Below are 22,900 nucleotides of genomic sequence, written 5' to 3' on the forward strand. Positions count from 1 at the left end.
TTCTGCCATGCTTTTTATCCACCAGGGCAGTAAAAGCAACGTCCACAGTGGCTTAGCCTCCTGCAAAGCCTGTGGCAGGACAGCCAGGGTTCCCTGACAGTGGAGATGGTGGACGGCCCCATAGGGGGTTGGTCCCATCTCGCCAGCAGAAGTGACCTGTGTGGCCTTAGTGGTCAGTGCTGCCTATTGTGATAGTGGATTGTTTAAAGCCAGGTCCCATCGTGGCTCCTGAGGGAATGAAAATGAGGGGTTCTTTGCTGTGATCTGATGCTTGTGTTCCACCAAATCCATATTTTGGAATTCTTATCCCCAAAGTGATGGGACCTTTGGGAGGGAGACATTGGAATTCACATTCCCAAGGAGATGGGGCCTTATGGAGGTGTCTTAATCTGTATTCTGCTGCTGAAACAGAATACCACAGATTGGGTAATTTATAATGAACAGAACATTATTTGGCTCAGAGTTCTAGGGGCTGGGAAGTCCAAGGTTGAGGGTTGCATCTGCTGAGGGCCTTCTTGCTGCGTCCTAACATGGTGGAAGGCATCATATAGTGAGCGAGAGAGGGAAGGGGGCCAAACTCATTGTTTTATTAGGAACCTGCTCCTCAGTCACTAACCCACTCTCGCGATAATGGCATTAATACATTCATGAGGGTAGAGCTTTCAGGACCTAATCACCTCTTAAAGGTCTCACTTCTCAACATTGTTGCATCGGGGATTAGGTTTCCAACACATGAACTTTGGGGGGGCACATTCCAACTATAGCAGTGGGTGATCAGGTCCTGATGGTGAAGCCCTCATAATGGGATCAATGCCGTTTTAAAAGAGGCTGCAGAGAGAGCCTCCCGCCCTCCACCATGTGAGGACAGAGTGAGAAGCTGCCGTCTCTGAGCCATCACGCAGGTACTCACCAGGCACGGAATCTGCTGGCTCTCTGGTCTTGGACTTCCCAGCCTCCTGAACTGAGACAAGCCACTTTCTGTCATGTATAATCTACCCAGTTTATGGTATTTTGTGAGAGTACCCTGAATGGAATAAGACTCCCTTCAAACAAATGTCCTGCTCTTTGAAAGAGAGTGTGGGGCTCACAGTCTGCTAGTAAAGACAGTTGTAGGAGCAATGGCAAGCCCACACTGGCTCGGATTTTCAGACCTTATCATTGAGTTAGGAGCGAAGTCCTCGACCTGAGGTTTTATTGGTCCAAAGTCAGGGCCTGCTGGAGCCCGACAGGTTGCGTGCTTGGCCTGTGGAGCAGTTTTCTCCAGAGCACCTCTATCCCCTCTGCCTTGTGCCAGGCCCAGCAGGGACTGAGGGTAGAATAATGACAGGCACAGCTCCTCCCCTCAAAGAGTCCACTATCTGGGGTTTGATGCTGGAGCGCAAGGAGGGGCTGCCCACATGGGCGGAGCAGAGGGCCTGGGGAAGTTCCAGGAAGAAGTGACTGTGTGCCGAGGCTGCAGGAGTAGAGGCAGCCCAGGAGAAAGGGGGGCATGGGCTGGAGGTGGGGGTGGTTCCAGGCAGAGAGAGCAGCTTGCACACGGGAAAACAAGGCATGGAGTGGGCAGCTCCTTCCGCCTGGTCTCTAAACCTGTGAAGAGGGGGCTGGGGAGAAGAGACGGGGGTGGAGGAGAGCAGGACTCACAGGCCAGCCAGCCCTCCACAGCCTTGGGAACAGAGTGAAGAGCTTGGACTGTGTCCTATGTCCTGGGGCCGGTGCCACTGCAGGCTTTGGAGCCAGGAGGGACTCAGTGGAGCTTGCTGTGTATGATTGTGAGTGTGGGGAATGGTTTGGGGTGGGAGGCAGGACAAGCAGCTGTGGACTCCTGTCTGCAGGTGAGTGCCAGGGCTCAGTGTGGGTTCTGATTGGGCTAAGTAGGTGCCCATCTGCCTGGAGTCCAGCTGTCCTTGTGTGGTCTGTAGACCTTGTTGTCAAGGTCTGGCAGCTCAACGCTGGTCTTTCTGAGATAATGAAAAGGGAAAACTTTAGAGGCAGGACGAAGACCTTGTAGTGACCAGTGACATCCCCACAGGGTCTAGGTGTGCGAGGTCTATTGGCGCCTGTGTGGGAAGGCGGGAAACCAGGGGCTTGGGGCCAGCTACAAATGCCACACTGGGCTCTGCCTTGGCTCTAGGTGCTTTGGTTGCTGGATTTGGTGGTGGCTCAGGGCAGTCACTTGTCATTCTCAGTATTTTATCCCCTGGGGCCTCCTCAGAGCCATAGGAGATGGTTCACCTCTGAAGGACTGCCCCATGCTGTGCTTGGTAAGCTCGGTCACCCAGGGCTGTCACAGAGATGGGCTATGGCCCACATGGGCTGAGCGGATTTCTGCCCTGCCACCTACACCTTGCTGTGATTACTTTGGCAGTGTTTCCCCGTCAGGAGAGCAGGTGGGAAGGGAGGCAGGTCCCTGAACTGGGATAGAGCCCGGAGACCTGGGTGTCCTCTGCTCTGTTGTACTGACACGCTGCGTGCTTATGAAATGAGGGCAGGGGTTCTCAGTGCTCCCATGGCATGGTGACTATAATCCATGAATGATGCCCACACAGTTCCTGGCATGCTCAGTGTAGCCTTGTTGTTGTAAGAGAAAAAAGCAGGGATTCTCCACTTCCCCACAGAGTGAACTGGAACGAGGAGAGACTGGTATTTCTCCAACACTAGGTTTCTTTGGATTTTTATGCTGGTTGATACTCCCTAAATCACAGGTCGCCTTAAAGAGAGCAAGAGCCCTGCACGGTGGCCCGGACCCTTGGGGCCCCTTCCATCCGATGCACCTCGTGGCCCAGTCTTTACCTGCTCACCATGCACAGCACTTCGCATGGGTTTGGAAACGTGTCATCTGCATGGCAAGGATGGGAATGGGGAGTGGGAACCTGCAGTTTAGGGTCCAGGCGGGTGGATTTTAATTTGCCCCTGGGGGATTCTAGGGCCAGCAGAGCTCACTGCCGCTGCTGTCTGGGCCTCCAGGCAGTGAGCTGCTGGGGGAGCCCCTCTGGAAATGGACAGTGGCTGTCAGGGCGTAGGACGCTAGGGGGCGAACAGAGGAAGTAGAGGTATCTGGGGCTGAAGTTCAAGGTTGCAGCATGAAGTTCAGGGTTGCAGCGCCCAGCCTAGCAGGGCAGGGTTCAATCTGCAGGACTGGCATGAGGAGGCAGAGGAGTCAGCCAAGCCCTCCCCTCAGCCTCTCTCCAGACACTACAGATCCAAGGCCAGGTCTGCATGAGGACAGCCACCTGGTCTCGGCTGAGGTTACAGGAAGGGAGTCGGGGCAAGGGCCAGTGAGTTTGTTCCTAATTTGGGTCCCCTAATTGTCCAAGAGAAGAAGAAAAGGCCTAATTTCTGTTTCGCTAAGTTTTAGACTACTTTAGTTCATGTTCTTTAACAATAGGTTATTCATGCAGAGCTCATCTCTATTAATCAAAATGTATGATTAGGCAGAAAGCCCTATTCCCACACCAGAGTGGTGAAATGCAGTGCATGTGTGTTCAGATCAATTTTTGAAGTCTTGATTTTGTTTTGTTACATGTTTATTTGATTGCTTGCAGAAGAATGAAGTTTTTTGGCCCTCTGGAAAATTTTTCTTTCTCCTGAGAGGTTTTCCAATCTAGTAGAAAATAGACGCAGAGTTTGGCTTGCACTGATTGCGGCATTAGAAGCGGCCCTGTACATTTTAATGTGGAAGACGTGATGGTTTTGCGTTTGCTCCTCCAGTTGTGCCCCATAGCTGTCTTTCTGCCAGCTCTCTTGCACATTTAGTTCTTGAGTGAGATGTTCTAAATAGAAGCCATGGTCCATTCAGTCCCCAGCCTGCTGTCCTTCTGTGACCCGCCAGCCAGCTTTGCTTAGGGAGCTATGAGCCCCTCCTACTAGGCTACAAAGTCATGGGCAGGAAAAGCATTTGTGCACAGCCAGGAGCAGAGCACCCAGGCCCAGGTCTGTCCCGGAGCCATGTGGACCTGGCGAATGGCTGTTCAGGTCAGAAGGGGGTTTGGATACACCGGTTCTGTGTTTCGGAGGCCAGCGTAGTCCCCAGTGTATTTCGCAGAAGTGATAGCAGCTTTATTCCCAAGGCACTAGTGCCTGCGCGTTAGGCACGTGCTGGGTGCCTGCTTGAGTGTCTCCTTTGTTCCTCTCTATCACTGGCTGTCCCCTGCAGAGGCAAGCGAGGCAGAGAGTTGGCTGGTAACAGCCAGTGTCCGCAGAGCCCCAGGGCTCCCTGACTGGGCTGTGCCACCTGGGGACAGGCAGATAGACCCCAAGTAAAGTTAAAGGGAAGCACAGTGGGGCCTGCACAGGATGTGAGTTGGAGGCTCTGGTGAAACTGAGACTTGGTGGGGGATGGGAGGCAGGGGCCCTGCTGGGACAGACAGGAGACCAGGGGCCAGTGGCAGAAATGGTCCTCGATCTACCCTCATGCAGATGGTGGCCTCTACCGGGAGCCCTGTGTGTCTCTGAGCCTTAGTCTCCCTCCCTCCAGTCTGCGAAATGGGCATAATAGAAATGATGCCTCTCACTAATAAATCTGTGCAGAAAGAGAAAGCAGTTTGCAACTGCAAAGCATTATTCAGGTCTTCCTGGCTCTACCTCCAGGATCGTATGCCTCCGCTCTCTCACGAGACACAGGCCTCCCATGTGCCCGGTGGTGGTCTCGAGGTCATCTGAGCCATCATCCACCCCTCTATACCGGGGACAGTGTGCTGCCAGGAGGGGCACCAGAAGAGGTGTCATACAGTGGCATGCTGAGCTAGGATTTGAGGCACTTCCTGCCTCTTCTAGTTCCTTGTGGGCCGGGGGTGCTTTGCTCAGATGGTGCTGGGGAGGAAGGGCAATATCTAAGGATGTATTGAGAGGGTCACATTCAGGTGTGCCATCTTCTGAGGGACAGAACCCTGTCACGACAGTTTTGCCGTGACTGAATTCCCACATTGCAGAGTGCGCTTGGGGTGTGGCTCTGAACATCGCTGGCAGGTCAGGTGGAGCCTCGCTGCTCTGGGGAGCTGTGCCCAGGTTCCCTCGGTTCCTGAAGCTCAGAGGTTGCAGGAGAAAGGGCCTCCTGGTGGCTGCTTACTCTGCCCCACTGTGAAGTGCCTGGTCACTAGAGTTAGGCCTCTCTCCCACTCCGGGCTTCAGGGATTCCACTGAGGATGGAGGGTGTTGGATTTAGTTTCTTTTTTTTTTCTTTTTTTTCTTTTGAGATGGAGTCTCACTCTGTCGCCCAGGCTGGAGTGCAGTGGCACCATCTCTGCTTACTGCAAGCTCCGCCTCCTGGGTTCACGCCATTCTCCTGCCTCAGCCTCCCGAGTAGCTGGGACTACAGGCGCCCGCCACCACGCCCGGCTAATTGTTTTGTATTTTTGGTAGAGACGGGGTTTGACCGTGTTAGCCAGGATGGTCTCGATCTCCTGACCTCGTGATCCGCCCACCTCGGCCTCCCAAAGTGCTGGGATTACAGGCATGAGCCACCGCGCCTGGCCCCCTTCTGGAGTATTTCGTTCATTAGAAGTAAGTCAGGGACTTAGTGTCTTTAGCTCCAGCCAGTCCTGTGGCCTCTCTGCCACTGTGTGAATGTCCCCAACCCCCCACCTGATAAGCAGGTGTCCTGAGGTCATCAGGGATTTGGACTTAGTTATTAAAAAGCAACCAGCACCCTTAGGAGCCTCCAGAGCAGAGATTGCCAAACTTTCTCAGACCACGGTGCCCTGGATCTCAGCAATTTCATGGTGTTTCTAGACCAAAACACATAGCTAACAACTCTACTCTTTAAGTAGCTAGGTCCAAACCACATGGTATTTATGTCCCAACAACTTGGAAGCCACATGAGAAATAATACTCATAAATTGAAACAAATGTATTTCATCCTAAACCACAATTACAAACGGAAGTGTGTCTGCTGAATGAGATTGGCACCATTCTCATTTCCTGTTTGATGCTGACTTTTGTGTGGGACTTGCTGTTTAAAAGTTTATTTTTATTTTTAATTTTTATACACATATCATAGTTATACATATTATGGGGGTACGTGTGATATTTTTTCTTGAGACAGCGTGACAGAGTTTTGCTCTGTAGCCCAGGCTGGAGTGCAGGGGTGCAATCTTGGCTCACTGCACCCTCCACCTCCCTGTTCAAGCGATTTTCATGTCTCTGCCTCTTAAGTAGCTGGGACTACAAGAGGTACGCCACCTCGCCTGGCTAATTTTTGTATTTTTAGTAGAGATGGGGTTTCACCACATTGTCCAGGCTGGTCTCAAACTCCTGGCCTCAAGTGATCTGCCTGCCTAGGCCTCCCAAAGTGCTGGAATCACAGGCATGAGCCACCGCACCTGGCCTACATGTGGTATTTTAATATAAGCATATACATTATTAATTGTGGCAAAGTACACATAACATAAAATACCATCTTAATCATTTTAAGTGTATAGTTCGGTGGAATTAAGTACATCAACATTGTTTTGCAGTCATCACCATCAGCTATCTCCAAAACGTTTTCATCTTCCCAAAACTTAAATTGTGCGCATGAAACAGTACCTCTCCTTTCCCCCTTCCTCCAGCCCCTCCCAGCCACCACTCTACTTTCCCTCTGTCTGAATTCACCTCTCTAGGTACCTCATGTAAGTGGAATCGTGCAGTATTTGTTCTTTTGTGACTGTCTTATTTCACTTCGCATGGTGTCCGTAGGGGTCCTGCACGTTGTGGCATGCGTCAGAATTGCTTCCTTTTTTAGTGCTGAATAACACTCCATTGCGGGAATATGCCACATTTTGTTGATCTGTTCTTCTGCTGCTGGACACGTGGGTTGGTTCCGCCATTTGGATTGTGGATAATGCTGCTGTGAACAGGGGTGTACAGATGTCTCCCTGAGTCCCTTCTTTCAGTTCTTTTGGGATATACCCAGAAGTGGAATTACTGGACCATATGGTAGCTCTTTTTAAAATTTTTTGAAGTGCCATACTATTTTCCACAGCAGCTGCACCCATTTACATTTCTATTATGCCAACAGTGTACAAGGGCTCCAATTTCTCCACATCCTCACCAGCACTTGTGTTTTCATTTTTTTTGTTTTTCTTTTCTTTCTTCTTCCTTTTTTAAATGGTACTATCCCAACAAGCGTGATAGCAGGAATTTGCTTTTAATTACAGCTACTTCTGGCCTCACGAGACGTCTTTCAGAGGAATGTAGTGTGATCTCACCTTGGAAACGAGAGCTGCCTCAAGGCAGTGGTGCATGCGGTGCTGACAGGTGCCAAGGGTCACTGCCTTCCCCATGGACATCTGGGCTGTGCTGCAGTGCCCCTGTGGGTGCAGCAGGGCCCCTAGGGTGCCTCCGTGCAGCTTGGGAGCCATGGAACTAGACAGTGTGCTTCAGACGAGTAGATAAGCACAGAAACAGAGCCGTAAGGACTGGGGGGAACGTCCAGTCCATAGTTCTGTGTGGAACCACGATCCACGGAGGCAGCTGAGGGGCAAGTGTAGTGTACGTGGCTGTGCGCTCCATCTCCGTGCTTACAGCCCTACAAAGTGGGAAGAGAATGGAAGAAACAGGAGAGAAAAAGTCCCGTGTGGTTTCCCGGAATCCTGTGGGTAGTGAGAGTCTCAGCATTGTTATTCCTAGCATGTTTTGTGTGTAACGTGAGATGAAGCAAATGATTACTGATGTGATCTTTTAACTCTGAGGACCTTGACCAGGATTTTCAGTGGCGAGGAGAAAGGAGATACGGAGGAAAGGTGCTGCGGGTTAAGAAAGCCTCGGGAGGCTGGGCGTGGTGGCTCACGCCTGTAATCCCAGCACTTTGGGAGGCCGAGGCAGGTGGATCATGAGGTCAGGAGATCGAGACCATCCTGGCTAACACAGTGAAACCCCGTCTCTACTAAAAATACAAAAAAAAAAAAAAAAAAAAAAAAAAAAAAATAGCGGGGCGTGGTGGCAGGCACCTGTAGTCCCAGCTACTCCGAAGGCTGAGACAGGAGAATGGAGAATGGCGTGAACCCGGGTGAACCCGGGAGGTGGAGCTTGCAGTGAGCCGAGATCACGCCACTGCACTCCAGCCTGGGTGACAGAGCGAGACTCTGTATCAAAAAAAAAGAAAAAAAAAAAAGAAAAGAAAAAGAAAAACAAAGCCTCTGGAATCCGGAACTACAAATCCATAAGTAGCCCTAGAGCGTTCCCTGGAGAGGCCTGGAATCAGTGGCCAAACCAATCACACGGAGCACCCCCAGTCCCGGGTCATGTCTTGAAATTCAGTTTTCTGCTGAAAGAAGCTGAGACTACTTGGACAAATGGTTGATACCGGGTTGGGGGCGGGAAATGTACAAGTTGAACCTAAATGCTTTGTCATAGCAGATAATAAAGGAGCCACCCTGGACTGTGAGGATGTGATTCTGCTGAGAGAGAGCATTAAAAGAGGAAAAAAACTATTAAAGTCAAAGTCCACGAGGATAGTGTTAAAAGGACTCGTGAGCTCACCTGATGAGGCCAGAGATGGACAATTTGAACATCAGTAAGAGTAAAAATCACAGTAGGTTGAAATGTATGCAGTATGTTTAAGTCCATGAGTTTTTTTAACAATACTCAGGAAATAAACCTAATCCGTCACCTTTGGAGAATGCTAGGGAACCAATTATATATTTTTGGTAAATAAGGGAAAGCTCTGAAATATATATCCTGCTTTTCTTATGCAGGCCGCACTACTGGGTGAGCAGGTGGCAGGTTGGGAGGTTCCATGTATAGAGGATGGAACCTCTGTGTCTGAAGCGTCTCAGCACATCTGAATTCACAAGCTGGGCGCTGGTGGCCCTGGGGCCTGCTGACATCTCAGGAAGGGAGGAAGAGCCACACTGCCCGGGAGCTGGTCTGCCCCTATTCTAACAGGGATCTCATTCGACTTCCAGATCCAACCACTGATTTGCAGGAACGGAAAGGACAGAGGACGATGTTTGGCTGTGCTTCAGGCACCTGGCCATCAAAAGCCAAACCATGGGAAATGCTGTGTGACCAACGACTCTTCAGTTAATAACTTGGGAGGCAAAAAAAAAAAAAAAAAAAAAAAGAGGTGGAAGCACAACCAACGGTTAAAGGGGACATAAAAGGCACACATAGTGTGTGTGTAGGGACATGTGCTACATGGAGCAGGGTGGGGCTATGATTACCCTACAACCAGGATGTGGTCAGGGGCACACAGGGAGGCTGGGTCCCGAGGGCTGGAGTGGCCGGTAGGGCCCCTCTTCTTCCCTGCCTGAGGATTGTAAAGGTTGTTTCATAGCCGTTTTGTTTGTTTATTTATTTATTTATTTATTTAGAGATGGAGTCTCGCTCTTTCGCCCAGGCTGGAGCGCAGTGGCGCGATCTCAGCTCACCGCAAGCTCCGCCTCCCGGGTTCACACCATTCTCCTGCCTCAGCCTCCCGAGTAGCTGGGACTACAGGTGCCCGCCACCACGCCTGGCTAATTTTGTTTTGTATTTTTAGTAGAGACACGGTTTGACCGTGTTAGCCAGGATGGTCTCGATCTCCTGATCTCGTGATCCGCCCGCCTCAGCCTCCTAAAGTGCTGGGATTACAGGCGTGAGCCACTGCGCCTGGCCTCATAGCCATTTATTAAGCTAAATATTTACACTATGTTTTCTAAAAAAGTAAAATTATTTTAACAACATAAAAGTCAAAGGAAGAAGTTCCTGGAAGTGGTCTTGAAGGTGCAAGTGGGCAATTGTGAACAGTCTGCTGGTGCAGGATGTGGCGCTTCGTCGTGGGAGTGCTGTCTCCCTCCACTGTGGGCCGCGCTCCTTCCTGCAGCACTCGCAGCTCACTGCTGCCATTTCCCGTGTAATCCTGTCTTCTGTCTTGACTCAGACCCACTCGTATCTTTGTTGTCTGGGGTCTGCGCTTTACTAGGGGACCTTGGAGTTCTGTTGTTGGCTGTGACTTCATTCCATGTTCTTTCCCATAAGGAACTGTGTTGGGAATAGTTTGATGATTCCATGGTCATGCCTTTTGGCCTTTTCTGTGAGGGGCGAATGGGGAGCACATGGAACTTATTGCTGCTGTCTTCAGTATTTCTTGGGGGAGGAACTCGGTGTGGTTTTTTCCAGCCTGAGCCCACCCTGAGGTCGGTTGTTGGACCCACCTGCCTGATGCAGACTGCCAGGGTCTTCCTGCCAGCGCGGGATCCCCCACTTTCCATTTCCTCTTGCAACCATCAGACCCAGGGACACATGTGTGGCTCCTTCTCCAGTAAGCGACCTGGGAGGTATCCTTACCCCAGGACCCGAGTGAGCGTCTGTTGGAGACTCCCAGGTGTGCAGGCCAGAAGGACATGCCCAGTTGTGTGGCTGCCTCTTCCCTGCAGGGAGAGAGAGAAGGCTGGCGTGGGGCTTCTCCCCGGGCTGGGCCTGCGTTGTCCCCGAGGCCCGTGGCCGCTGGAGCAGCCCCTGAGCGACTCTGCTCCTTCCTGGGCCTCGGTTTCCTCGTTCTCAGGGGGGGCTTCTGCCAGACTGTCTGGGAGATGTTTTCAGCCCTCTAATTTGTGCATGCTGTGACTCACCCAAAATTACAGAGCAAAGCTAATGGAATCAGGAATTTATAAATCCCCCTTCCTTCCTCACGCGGTTCCTTGAGTTTTTGAAAACTACCATTCAGAATGAGACAGTGGCCTTCTACCTGAGGCCACAGGGTTGTCTGTGGCCTAACTGATTTCTGGCCAGTCAGGCTGGGTGAGCCTCAACAGCGTGAACATACTAAAGGCTTCTTCCTTGCCCTGGGACACCGGTTCTGGCCAGGCTACAGGGCTCACAGCTCAGACCTGCCTCTGCCTGGGAGTGACACGGTCCCCTCTGCTCACGTGCCATGGATCAGAGCTGCCATGTGGCCCAGCTTAGGGAGACCAAGAAGCATGGGAGACTCCCCGGCTATTTGACGAGCAGGACCTGTCCATGCCATCTCCCATCTGTGCCCTGCATCTGCGACTTCCAAAGAGCATTGGCCTGCACTGTCCTATGAAATGCTACCACAAGCCCTTTCTGGCAAGTGCAGTTAATCCTGTTCGGTGGGTTAGGAAACCAAGGCTCTGAGGGAGGCTTTCAGTGCCACAGCTGGGAGGTGAGAGTTGTGAGTTGCAGATGTCTCAGCCATCCCGAGCGTGACCATTCTGAGTGGCGGGAAGCTTTTCACTCAGCACTGAGTACATGATGCCTACAGTGTTCTGGGCCTCCTCCATCAGGAATCATGGGCCCTTCTCCCCAGGACGCTCATCGATGGCCCCGGCTCCTCCAGCCCTGGCTCCTCCAGCCCTGGCTCCTCCAGCCCTGGCCCCTCCTTGGGCTGTGGCTGCACCCTGGGCTCCACCCATTCCAGACCCAAAGGCCCATGGGCCAACCAGACACCGCCCCTACATGGTGTGCCCACAGGCTCTTATGGATCCCAGAGGGCCCCCTTTGTCCTGCTTGGGGAGGCTGGGGTGGCCGCTACACAGTGCCCTGCCGTGGCCCCCATGCTCCCCAACTCCCTACTGTGTCTGCTGGACGTTTGAACAGCCTCCTGCCCTAAACCTTGCATCCTGCCACCTCTGGCCCACTCTCCACCCTGGCCTACTCTTCACCCTGGCCCACTCTCCACTCTGCAGCCAAGTGATCTTTTCCAGCAGCACATGTGACTGAGTATTGCTGATGGCTGCGACTGCTTTCAGGATCAAATTGTGTCTCTTCCGAAAGAGACATCAGATAAGAGACATTGGAAAAGAACATGAATTGCGGTCACCCAGAGCTCTTTCGCGGTTTGGGATTAAGCCATGCAGAAAGGTGTGCAGGAGCCTAGATCACCTGCCAACCTGCCTCTTGCCATCCTCTATTTTGTACGCTCAGTCACCCCAGAAAATTGCTCCGGCCCTTGGATTTACCTCCGTGTCACTGTCCATCCGGTACCCTCTGCCTGGGATGCCTCCTGGGTCTCCATCACCCGCCTCACTCGTTTTTCCTCTGCACATGGCATCTACTTCCGCCCTTCCGCAGGACACCTTCCCAGGCTGGGTCTGGACCACCCTGCGGACTCGCTCCTCGCAATACTGGCCACATGCCCTCAAGCCCATCTGTTTCTTAGAGTCGATGTCCCCTAAGGTGTGAGTTCCTGGTGAGCAGGAGAACCTGTGCCTTTTATAACCTGGTGTGCTGCTCGGCGTGCCGAAGGAACCAAGGCGATGTTGAGAAATGAATGGAACAGCTGTACTGTGCAGAGATACGTGCAGAGAGGGGCAGGAGGAAGCCTCCACTTCAGACTTCAGTGTGAAAAAGAGACACTGGAAAAGAACATGAAATGTGGTTGCCCGATGCTCCTTTGTGGTTTGGGATGAAGCCCTGCAGAAAGGTCCGGGCAGCACTGCAGCCCCGCCATGCTGCTTGCCCCACGTGGGTTCTGGAGTCTGGTGGCACCTGGAAGAGCAGGTGGAGTGGAAGCTGCTAGAAGGTGGGAACCTGAGGGTCCTGGGCTGGCAGAGGCCTTGCCCCCGCTTTGCCTAGGGAGGCAGTGAGCTTCCTCCTTCATTTGAACTTTGCCCTGAAGAGCTGGGCCTTCCTTGTTCATGGGGAGCCTGATGCTTCTTCCCAGCACACCACAGCCACACAGGAGGTGCAGCAGAGCATGCGGAGATCCACCTGGCAACTCACAGCCAGCCGCGGCGTCACTGTCAGGACTCTGTGAAAAACAAGGTTTCTGTTTGGCGCGGGGACGACCAGAGGGAAGGAGACTGGTAGAGCCTAAGTATTCAGCCGACCATTAAAAAGTGAAAGTCAGAAGCAATGTAAGTCAAAACTCAGGACATCTCAGGGTGACCTTGGCCACTCACAGTTGTTCGTGTTTGAAATCACATTGATTCTCGCAGCTGTCCAAGGCGCAGGAAATAACCACTCTGGGTGATGTCGTTGGGATGGTTTTGTCAGCACTCAGGATTTGGGGGTTTGTTATGAAAATTTCACGTTACAAAAAAGGGAGAAGTGCAGTTTTGTGTGTTTAGGGTTATTGGTGGCTAGACATCTGAAAATCAGGATCCCCGCTCATTGATTTTTTTTTTTTTTTTGAGATGGAGTCTTGCTCTGTTGCCCAGGCTAGAGTGCAGTGGCCAATCTTGGTTCACTGCAACCTCGGCCTCCCAAGTTCAAGCGATTCTCCTGCCTCAGCCTCCTGAGTAACTGGGATTACAGGCGCCTGCCCCCCGCCTGGCTAATTTTTGTATTTTTAGTAGAGACAGGGTTTTAACATGTTAGCCAGGCTGGTAACTCCTGACCTCAGGTGATCAGCCTACCTCGGCCTCCCAAAGTGCTGGGATTACAGGCGGTGCCGCTCCTTACATTTTGTTGCTGTTCCCAGGAAGATTGATGGAGGGAAAACACACTCTCCACAGAGGAGATCCTGTGTTTACAGCCGTCTTAGATAGAGTCGTGATGAGGAGGAGGACTCTGGGCCGACAGTGTATGAGGGTTCCGCCTCATAAGGCTGTTTGGTGTTTGTGCCCACACTGGGTGTGACGGGTTGAAGCAGTGGATAACAAGCCTATTACTGTTATGCAAATGTGGGCGGCCCAGTTGCATTCTTCATGCATGTGTCTCTCCCTAATGAGTTTCAAAATCTTAATTTAGATCTTGATTTTGTTGCAGATAGGATTCCAATTTAAAGAGCGTTTGTCATTCAGAGACTGTGGTAGACAGGAAAATGGTCTTCAGAGATATCCACACCCTAGCTGTGGCGCCTGTAAATCTGTTACTTTATGTGACAGAAAGGACTTTGCAGATCTGATTAAGTTATGGATCTTGAGATGGAGAGATTATTCTGGATTATTCAGGTGGGCCCTTATAATCATGGTGACCCTTATAAGAAGGAAGCTGGAGGAGTTAATTGTCAGAGGAGAAGGTGCTGTGACGATGGAAGTGGAGATTGAAGTGATGCACTTTGAAGATGGAGGAAGCGGCTGCAAGCCAAGGAATGCAGGTGGCTTCTAGAAGCCAGAAAAGGCAAGGAAACAGATTCTTGCCTAGAGCCTCCGTAAAGAACCAGGCCAGTCGACACCATGACCTTAGCCCAAGGAGACCTGCGTGGGATTCCTTTCTTTTTATTTTCTTTCTTTTCTTTTCTTTTTTTTGAGACAGGATCTTGCTCTGTCATCCAGGCTGGAGTGCAGTGGCGCCATCTCAGCTCACTGCAACCTCCACCTCTTAGGTTCAAGCCATTTTCGTGCCTCAACCACCCATGTAGCTGGGATACAGGCACATGCCACCATGTCTGGCTAATTTTTGCATTTTTTTGTAAAGATAAGGTCTTGCTATATTGCCTAGGCTGTTCTTGAACTCCTGGGCTCAAGGGATCCACCTGCCTCAGCCTCGCCAAGTGCTGGGATTATAGGCGTGAGCCACTGCACTCAGCCCTCTGTGGGATTTCTGAACTATAGAACTGTAAGAGAGCAAGTTGGTGTTGTCTGAAGTCACTAGATTTATGGTGACTTGTCACAGCAGCCATAGGAAGCTAACACAGAGACTCAGGGACCAAGCCTTTCCATTGCAGCAAGATTGATCAGTTGTTCTCTCCCATCACGGGGCTCTCATTTTGCTCAAGTCCTATGTCATCGTCCCTCTTTTCCTGGAGAGCAGGAGCTGACTTCAGACGCCAGATCTTCTTTTCCTGCCACAGCGCACTTGCAGCTCTTGGGAGGTGAAGGTTCTGCCTGCTGCTCTTCTGGAATGATAAACGCTGGGCCCTTAGTGGAAATGTCAGGTGAAATGGAAGGCAGCTCCTTGGGTGCAGTGACAGGACCTGCAGTGGGCCTGTTGGAGCTGGCACTGAGGGCTGCTCCCCATCCCTCTGTGGGTGTATTGGCTGCATGCTGACTGGCCGTCCTCGTGGGCGTGGCCTGGTGTGTGTGCAGGTGGACAGAGGCTGGAGTATCCTTGAGAGGCTGTGCGTTCTCTCGGCTTCTTTTGGAGCCAGAGCCATCAGGGAGCCATCACCTGTCCTGGCCTGACCTGTCCTGTCATGAGTGCTGTGTTCCTTGAGCTGCCTCTCAGGCTAGGGGATGAGGTGGCTGTGCTCAGGCCTGGCTTCTGCAGGCTTCTTCCTATCTTTGGAGCGGCTCCACCACTGGAATCTGTGACATGAGAGGCCCGTAGCCCAGGCCCATCATCTAGAATGGAGAGGCAGCCCCACAGCCTCCTGGGAACCAGAGCTCCTTGCCTGGGTCATCACAGAACTAAGCCTTAAAATCAGGAGGCCTCAGCAAAGCGCCTCTAGAGACTCAAACCACCTTGTAAATCTCACTGGGAGTGAACGATTGACTTTTTACTCAGTACCAGGACTACATACTACCTCATTTATGGGTTTTTCCTCTAAATTGCTAATGTTTGAAGTGGAAATTTTCAAAACTGACTAATGTCTCTGCTTCAAGATTTGCTGTCAGGCAACTTATTTATAAATAAAGCAGCTTTTCAAGGAGCACTAACAAACAATCCCTCGTGTTAGGAGACTCAGAGCCAAGTCGTGGCTCTAGGTTGGCCTTGCAGGGTGTTAGGGAGCCAGTTCTCCACCCCAGGGCCATGGACTTCTGGGTCCTTGCACCATCCAGAGAGGTGATGATGTGGTTATTCCCATGTATAGAGTCTACTGTTTTCAGGGGGCATTTGCATCTGTGGTTTCATTAGATGTTCAGAGCATCCCCACAGGGGTTAGTTCATGTAGAGAAGGAATCAGAGGCTCACAGAGGTTCAGGGTTTGCTGGGTCACCAGCTCCTAAGAGGGGCCCTTTGGGCTGAGGCCACGGCGCTTTCTTTCTTGCAAGACAGAAATTTTCCTTTTCCTTTCTTTGCCATAATGGCCACCTCCTTCCACCCCATATCCTTCTTCCCTTTGGCCACTGGTGAGTTCTGATTATTTTTGGAAAAAAAAAAAAATTAAAACTCTGGGAGCTTGAGACTGAGGTAAAGTCCCCTTTCGTAGAGATTTTTGGACTGACATGTTAGCTCTCTGCCCTGTGTAACTTCAGAGTTTGGTAGGTGATGGGGACACGCCTGTTGGAGAGTCCTGGTGTGTCCAGTTTTGTCCCCGCAGCTTCACTGGCTGTCAGAGCCACAGCCTTTGCTTACGGCTACGCCCTGGAATATTTAACAGCAATTTCTTTTCGCTTTCTTCTGTCGTGTTCTGTCTGTGTCAGTGTTTTGTGGTCTTACTGTACCTGTTGTTTTATTATAGGCAGATACTGTAAACGCTGATACAGTCTGTGCCCTGCGGTTGTGGTTTTTAGGGCCTTGCGGCGGCATCTTTGCTAGTGCTCACTGCAAATAGGGGCAGGAAGCAGTTGTTTGGGAATGAGCCACATGGTGGAATATCTTGAATGTCCCAGGCCAGGCACAGAGCAGCTGCTCAGTAAATGTTGCTGAGTGAGAGGCTGGGGGGTTGGTGAGGATAGGCAGGGGTGGGCGTCCAAGGCTGCAGAGTTGTAAAGCGGGGGGTGGGGCAGCCAGCAAGTCCAGCTCGAGGAAACACCACGGGGTTCAGGGGCTCTGTGTAAGAAATGGCAGAGGTTTGGCTTCGCTTTTAGTTGTTTTGTTTCTTGTTCAAGTGAGGAGAACACACCGAGAAGGGAGGAGAGCAAGGCTGGCTGAGCGTCATGGCAGGGTGGTAAAGGAATCAATCACCCGGACAGGTTGTCCGTTCATGTGCCGTTGTTTGCATTGCTGTGATACAGACTGCTGTGCCACTGAAACCTTCCGAAAAGCAAGCCACCCAGAGAGTGACTTGGGCAGGTGTGTATTCATGTGTGCATCAGGGAGAGGAATACTTGCAAGGAGCAGAGCTTCCAGAAGACCAAGATTCAGTGGAGGCAGCAAGTCAGGGCCGGGCAGAAGCCCCTGGGGTATCTGCGGAAGAGCACTTTCCAGGGTGCATGGATGGATGCGTTAACCAGCCAGTTCCTACGCATCACGGAGGAGAGGTGCCTGCCCTCCTGGGAGCCGTGCCTATTCCATTGCTTCTGTTGTTTTTTTGAGACAGGGTCTCACTCTGTCACCCAGGCTGGAGTGCAGTGGCACGATTTCAGCTCACTGCAGCCTCTGCCTCCCAGGCTCAAGCGATCCTCCCACCTCAGCCTCCCAATTAGATGGGACTTCAGGTGAGCACCACCATGCCTGGCTAATTTTTAAATGTTTTGTAGAAACGGGGTCTCACTGTATTGCCCAGACTGTTCTCGAACTCCTGGGCTCAAGTGATCCTCATGCCTCCACCTCCCAAAGTGCTGGGATTTCAGGCGTGAGTTACCACACCCGGCCTCTTGTTGTTGTTAGTAAACTTTTAATTCTAGAACAGCTTTAAAGTTATAAAAAAGTTGCAAAGACTGCAGAGAATTCCCATGCTTGCTTCCTCCAGTCTTCTCTCTCGTTAACATCTTACATCACACGGTGCATTTGGCATAACTGAGGAACCAACGTGGGTCCATTGCTATGAACTAAACTCTGCAGTTTATTCCAATTTCCTTAGTTTTTGCTTAATGTTTTTTTTCTGTCCCAGGAGCCTGTCCAGGCCACTACGTTACCTATAGTCCTTGCGTCTCCTTAGCCTCCTCTGGTCTGTGACAGTTTTTCAGCTTTCCTTGTTTTTAATGACCTTGATAGTTTTCAAGAGTACAGGTCTTTGTGAATATCCTTCGATTTGGGTTTATCTGCTGTTCTTCTCATGGTTAGACTGGAGTTATGGGTTTGGGGGAGGAAAACCACAGAAGCGAAGCACCATTTTCAACATACATCAATGTTGCATGATATCAATATGACTCATAACTATCGATGTTGACCCCGATCAGCTGGCTGAGGTAGCATGTGCCAGTTGCTCACTGTAAGATTACCCCACCTTCAGCGGGGTGCGGTGGCTCATGCCTGTAATCCCAGCACTTTGGGAGGCCGAGTGGGTGGATCATGAGGTCAGGAGATCGAGACCATCTTGGCTAACATGGTGAAACCCCGTCTCTATTAAAAATACAAAAAATTAGCCAGGCGTGGTGGTGGGCACCTGTAGTCCCAGCTACTTGGGAGACTGAGGCAGGAGAATGGCGTGAACCCAGGAGGCAGAGCTTGCAGTGAGCTGAGATCACGCCACTGCACTCCACCCTAGGCGACAGAGTGAGATTCTGTCTCAAAAAAAAAAAAAGAAAGCAAAAAAAGATTACCCCACCTTCTTTCCATAGTCCTCCCTGGAAGGAGGTCGATGTGCAGAGCCCATGCTTAAGGAATGTGGAGTTACACTCCACTCCTTCATGGGGGGTGGGGATATCTGTATAAATTATTTGGAATATTTCTGTATGGGGGACTTATCTATTCTCCCCCATTTATTTATTCAAACATTTACATCAATATGGATTTGTGGATATATAATTTATACCTTGCTTTATAATCCAGTGCTGTGTTATTTATTTTATTGCTCAAACTGTCCCAGCTTTGACTATATGAAGCTCTTTCAGGTGGCATCCCATGTCCCTTAGAGAGATCCCTACCTTTTTGTTTTTTTGAGTACAGTCAGTTGGCCATATCCGTGAGTTCTGCATCTGTGGATTCAACCAACCTTAGATGGGAAATATCTGGGAGAAAAATAGATGGTTGCATCTCTACTGAACAGACTTTTTGTCTTGTCATCATTCCTTAAACAATACAGTATAACAACGATTTATATAGCATTTACATTGTACTAGGTATTATAAATAATCTAGAAAGGATTTAAAATATATTGAAGAATGTGCATAGGTTATATGCAGATTCTACACCATTTTATAGAAGGGACTTGAGCATTGAGGATTATGGTATCTACAGGGGGGCCTAGATAACCAATCCCTTACAGATACCCAAAGAAAACTGTACCTCTTTCTGGCACAAGATACTCAGGCTCATCTTGAATTTTTCCTACCCAGTCCTGGACTCAGCTATTTCTGCAAGGATCCCTGCCTTATTTTATTGAAGAATGGTATCTAGAAACCAAGGTCTGGAGACAGGGTTCTTCTTGTCACCGAGGTACATTGCTTCCAGGCCCTCTCAGCAGACAGAGCTAGGAAATATGCATGTATGCTAATCTGTGTATACATATGTATCTCCCATAGTTTTTTTTTATTTTTTTATTTTTTGAGACAAAGCCTTGCTCTGTTGCCAGGCTGGAGTGCAGTGGCACGATCTCCACTCACTGCAACCTCCGCCTCCCAAATTCAAGCAACTTTCCCGCCTCAGCCTCCCTAGTAGCTGGGACTACAGGCGTGTGCCACCACACCCAGCTAATTTTTGTACTTTTAGTAGACAGAGTTTCACCATGTTGGCCAGGATGGTCTTGATCTCTTGACCTCATGATCCATCCGCCTTGGCCTCCCAAAGTGCTGGGATTACAGGCGTGAGCCCACTGCACTCAGCCTTTTTTTTTTTTTTTTTTTTTTTTTTAAGACAGAGTCTCCCTCTGTTGCTCAAGCTGGAGTGAATGGCACAATCTTGTCTCACTGTAATCTCCACCTCATGGGTTCAAGGGATTCTCTTGCCTCAGCCTCCTGAGTAGCTGGGATTATAGGCATGCACCACCACGCCTGGCTAATTTTTGTGTCCCATAGCTTTTTTTTGAATGCACGACCCCATCTGGCGGCGAAGCCCTGGACCTAGCCTTCTGATCACTCATGGGAACCATGACCACGTGTCACATAGTAGAAAGGAAAACTTGGACAACTTACTGTGTAGACAGGAGCAGCAACAACAAAAAAGACTTGGAAGGCTTAAAGAATATTTTCCAAGTATACACAAATACAGAGAATAATAAGAGGAATGACTTTGAGAGCCTGAGGCAGGAGGATTGCTTGAGCCCAGGAGTTCAAGAACAGTCTGGGTAGCATAGAGTGACCTTGTCTCTACAAAAAAATTAAAAAAAAAAGCCAGGTGTGGTGACGCGCACCAGTGGTCCCACCTCCGTGGGAGGCAGAGGCAAGAGGATCACTTGAGCCTGGGAAGTTGAGGCTGCAGTGAGCCATGATTATACCACTGCATTCCATCCTGGCTAACAGACCAAGACTCTGTTTAAGAAAAAAGGAGTATCTGGGGTACCTGCTATCCAGTTTAAGACATGTACAAATATGATTCAGCCTTCCATGAGCATGCCTCCCCAGCCACCCCTGTGAAACCCAGTAAATTGAATTTACTGTTTGTTTTTTGGAGGCATGTTTTATTTTTACACTGCATGTATGCCTAAATGATATATCCCATTGTTATGATATTTTCAAACTTTGTAGAAATGATACCTTACTGTGTTCCTACAACTTGAATTTTCATTAACTGAGACATTTTACATGTATTTATCTTCTTAGCAATCCTGAGAAAAGCAAGAGTCACTATCTCCATTGTATAGATAGAGAAACTGATAATGTAGAGCAATGATGTGATTTTTGCTAATTTCAAGCAGCTAATGGAGATCGACTCACATTTGTACCTTCAGAGCCCTAGTCCATGCTCTTTGTATGACATAAATGTCAAGATTCATCAGGAAAAGGAAGAACAGGCGGGTCTTGTTGGTTACTCTGTGACCCTGTTGCTTCCCTGGGACCTGGAAGTCCTGGTGTCTCCCTTAGCCTGGAATCCCAGTCTCCATCTGGGTTTTGCAGGCTCCAGGAGTTTTGATGAAATGAGGACCCATATGGCTGGTTGAGACTCCCACCCCCTCATCACTCCCTACCAGCGTTTGTGCAGAATCCTCCTCTCCTCCCGAGTTGGAAATAATGTATAGTTGGCTCAAAAGTCAGCCCCTCCTTATTTTAGCACCAGATGCTGCCTCTCAGCTTCACGCTGCCCTCCAGCAGCATTGCCTGTGGTCCATGGGATCTTGGCCTTCACACTCAGCATTGAAACAGCTGCCTTCCGCTCCCATCATAGGAAAGAGAACAGAAGTCTCTTGCTCCCACTCCCCCCGCCCCACCCCCTGCTGCTGGCCTATTTCTGTGCTTTGTTTTGCTGTAGAACTTCTGGAAAGAGTTGTCTGCAGTGGCTTTCTCCATTTCCTCCCTTCCCGTTCTCTCTTATACCCGCTCCAGTCGGACTTTTGCCCCTTCCACAGACACCTCTCCTGACACTTTTGACCCCATCACTTAGAGATCAAGATCTGTAAGACTCCAAGTCTCCAGATCCAGTGGTCAGCTCTCGGTCCCTTCCCATGTGACTGACCAGCAGTGTTTGCCACAGTCGTCCCCTCTAGGAAACACCTTCTTCCCTTGGCTTGTGGGGCACTCTGTGCTTGGGATTTTCTTCCTGCTTCACTGGACTTTGCTCAGTCCCCTTACTGACCCGTGAGTGTCAGAGTGTCCCTGCGGTCAGTCCATGCCCCTCTTCTCCGCTCGGTCCACACTCCCACCATGGTTGACCTCATTCCGACTTGTGGCACAAGGAGCTCACATTTATCTTTTAGCTCTGATTTCTCTTCTGACCTCCAGACTGTACACCCTGTTGCTCACCCAGCGCTTTCCCTTAGAGTTCTAATTGACGTCCCCACACAACAGGCACCAAGCTGTCCCTGGCCATCTCAACCCCAATCTCCACATCTCAGTAAATGGCAGCTCCATGCTTCCGGACACCTAGACCATAGACTTGGAGCCAACCTTGACTCCTGTCTCTCTTAAACCCCACATGGAATCTGTTCCGTAAGCTGCCCATGGTCACACCGGCACCGCTGCCGTGCGATGAGAGCCTGTCATCTCCTTGCTAGATTGCTGTGCCAGTTTCCTGATGGTTCCTGTTTCCACACTGACTGCATACCTTCCCACCCAAGTCTGTGTCTGCTCAGCAGCTGGTTTATTGCATACAAACTTAAATGAGAATGCTCCTCCGACCAGAGCTCTCCGTTCCCTGGCCATCCCATTAAGAGTAAATGCTGGAAGCCCCTCCTCAACTGACTTTATTTCTTAAAACTCTATCCTGCAAAATCCTGCCTGGCTAATAACTTTATCACCTTCTTCGTGTTGGTTCCAACGTTCCCTTCTGCAGGTGGCTTCTGCGGACTTTGGTACTGGCCCACATCCCTGAGCTGGTAACCCCCCACCATGCACAGGCACCCCCACATTAATTCTGTAGCTTATTTGTTTATTGTTGTCTGTGCCACTCCAGACAGGAAGCCTGTGGGGGTTGGGGGCTTGGTCTGCCTTCTTCAGCCCTGGGCTCACAGTCCTGACATCTTCTTGAAGACGGCGCTCACGGTCAGGCTGCAGCAAATTCACAGTTGACATCTAGGAGTGAGGGCCTCCTGCCATGCTGCACTCTGGCCTCTCACCTGCCTCCTGCTAGTCCTGGGCACACCTGGAGGACAATCAGGGAATTTCTTTCCCCATCTGCTTTGGCATCCTCCAAACCTGGGAACCTTTCTAACACCTGACTGCTTGGTGACCATGTGTGTGCTCTGTGGATTTCTGTCCAGGAGGGTCCCTCACTCTGGCCCTCAGGGCCATGTGCATGTGGACACCGACTGGTAGGGTTGGTTTCCTATGCAGAGAGCAGGGCCAGAGGCATAGCCGGCCCACCCCCAGCCCCATTGCTCACGGTTCACCCAGTCCCCTGGCCTTTCCGACGCTGTGCGCATCTGTATTTGTTGCAGTGAACAGAGCCTAGAATTATAGGACTTTGTCAGACAGTTTGATTTTCAACCCCGTAAAAAATACATTTTACTTAACCACCTAGGATACCTCTACATTATAGACCTCAAGCAGAAGTTTCAGGAGACAGTTTCTTACTCTCATTAGAGGTGATGCGTTTTGTGTGGTCTTCGGTTTCATTGCCCCATAAACTCACTTGGCGATCTGCCTGTGGGTCCCCAGCAGTCTGTAAGCCACAGCTTTCTCAACCGTACTTCCTGTTCTGGAGGAGAAACCTGAGCTGCAAAGAGCTAAGGGTCTTG

General features: G+C 50.5%; 1 protein-coding gene across 31 annotated transcripts in view, besides 4 other annotated features; it reads left to right on the plus strand.

The window, feature by feature from the left end:
- APBA2 (amyloid beta precursor protein binding family A member 2) overlaps positions 1–22,900 on the plus strand; it is a 232,342-nt gene that overhangs the window by 46,512 nt on the left and 162,930 nt on the right. For 2 of the 31 annotated variants that reach the window (NM_001353791.2, NM_001353793.2), the window contains exon 1: positions 1,519–1,769. The exons of the other annotated variants lie outside the window; for them this stretch is intronic. The gene's annotated coding sequence lies outside the window, so the exon portion shown is untranslated. Of the gene's footprint in view, positions 1–1,518; positions 1,770–22,900 lie in introns of those variants that run through there. 31 annotated transcript variants of the gene reach the window in all.
- Positions 2,915–3,414: an enhancer, noted in NCBI's record as "H3K4me1 hESC enhancer chr15:29227603-29228102 (GRCh37/hg19 assembly coordinates)". NCBI's record gives its function as "activates a minimal SCP1, AML or CMV promoter by ChIP-STARR-seq in naive H9 embryonic stem cells {active_cell/tissue: H9 hESC(naive)}" and the evidence as "EXISTENCE:reporter gene assay evidence [ECO:0000049][PMID:30033119]".
- Positions 15,968–16,468: an enhancer, noted in NCBI's record as "H3K4me1 hESC enhancer chr15:29240656-29241156 (GRCh37/hg19 assembly coordinates)". NCBI's record gives its function as "activates a minimal SCP1, AML or CMV promoter by ChIP-STARR-seq in naive H9 embryonic stem cells {active_cell/tissue: H9 hESC(naive)}" and the evidence as "EXISTENCE:reporter gene assay evidence [ECO:0000049][PMID:30033119]".
- Positions 21,899–22,400: an enhancer, noted in NCBI's record as "H3K4me1 hESC enhancer chr15:29246587-29247088 (GRCh37/hg19 assembly coordinates)". NCBI's record gives its function as "activates a minimal SCP1, AML or CMV promoter by ChIP-STARR-seq in primed H9 embryonic stem cells {active_cell/tissue: H9 hESC(primed)}" and the evidence as "EXISTENCE:reporter gene assay evidence [ECO:0000049][PMID:30033119]".
- Positions 22,401–22,900: an enhancer, noted in NCBI's record as "H3K4me1 hESC enhancer chr15:29247089-29247588 (GRCh37/hg19 assembly coordinates)". NCBI's record gives its function as "activates a minimal SCP1, AML or CMV promoter by ChIP-STARR-seq in primed H9 embryonic stem cells {active_cell/tissue: H9 hESC(primed)}" and the evidence as "EXISTENCE:reporter gene assay evidence [ECO:0000049][PMID:30033119]".

Source organism: Homo sapiens, chromosome 15, assembly GCF_000001405.40.
Source record: "Homo sapiens chromosome 15, GRCh38.p14 Primary Assembly".
In the NCBI taxonomy this organism is placed as follows: domain Eukaryota; kingdom Metazoa; phylum Chordata; class Mammalia; order Primates; family Hominidae; genus Homo; species Homo sapiens.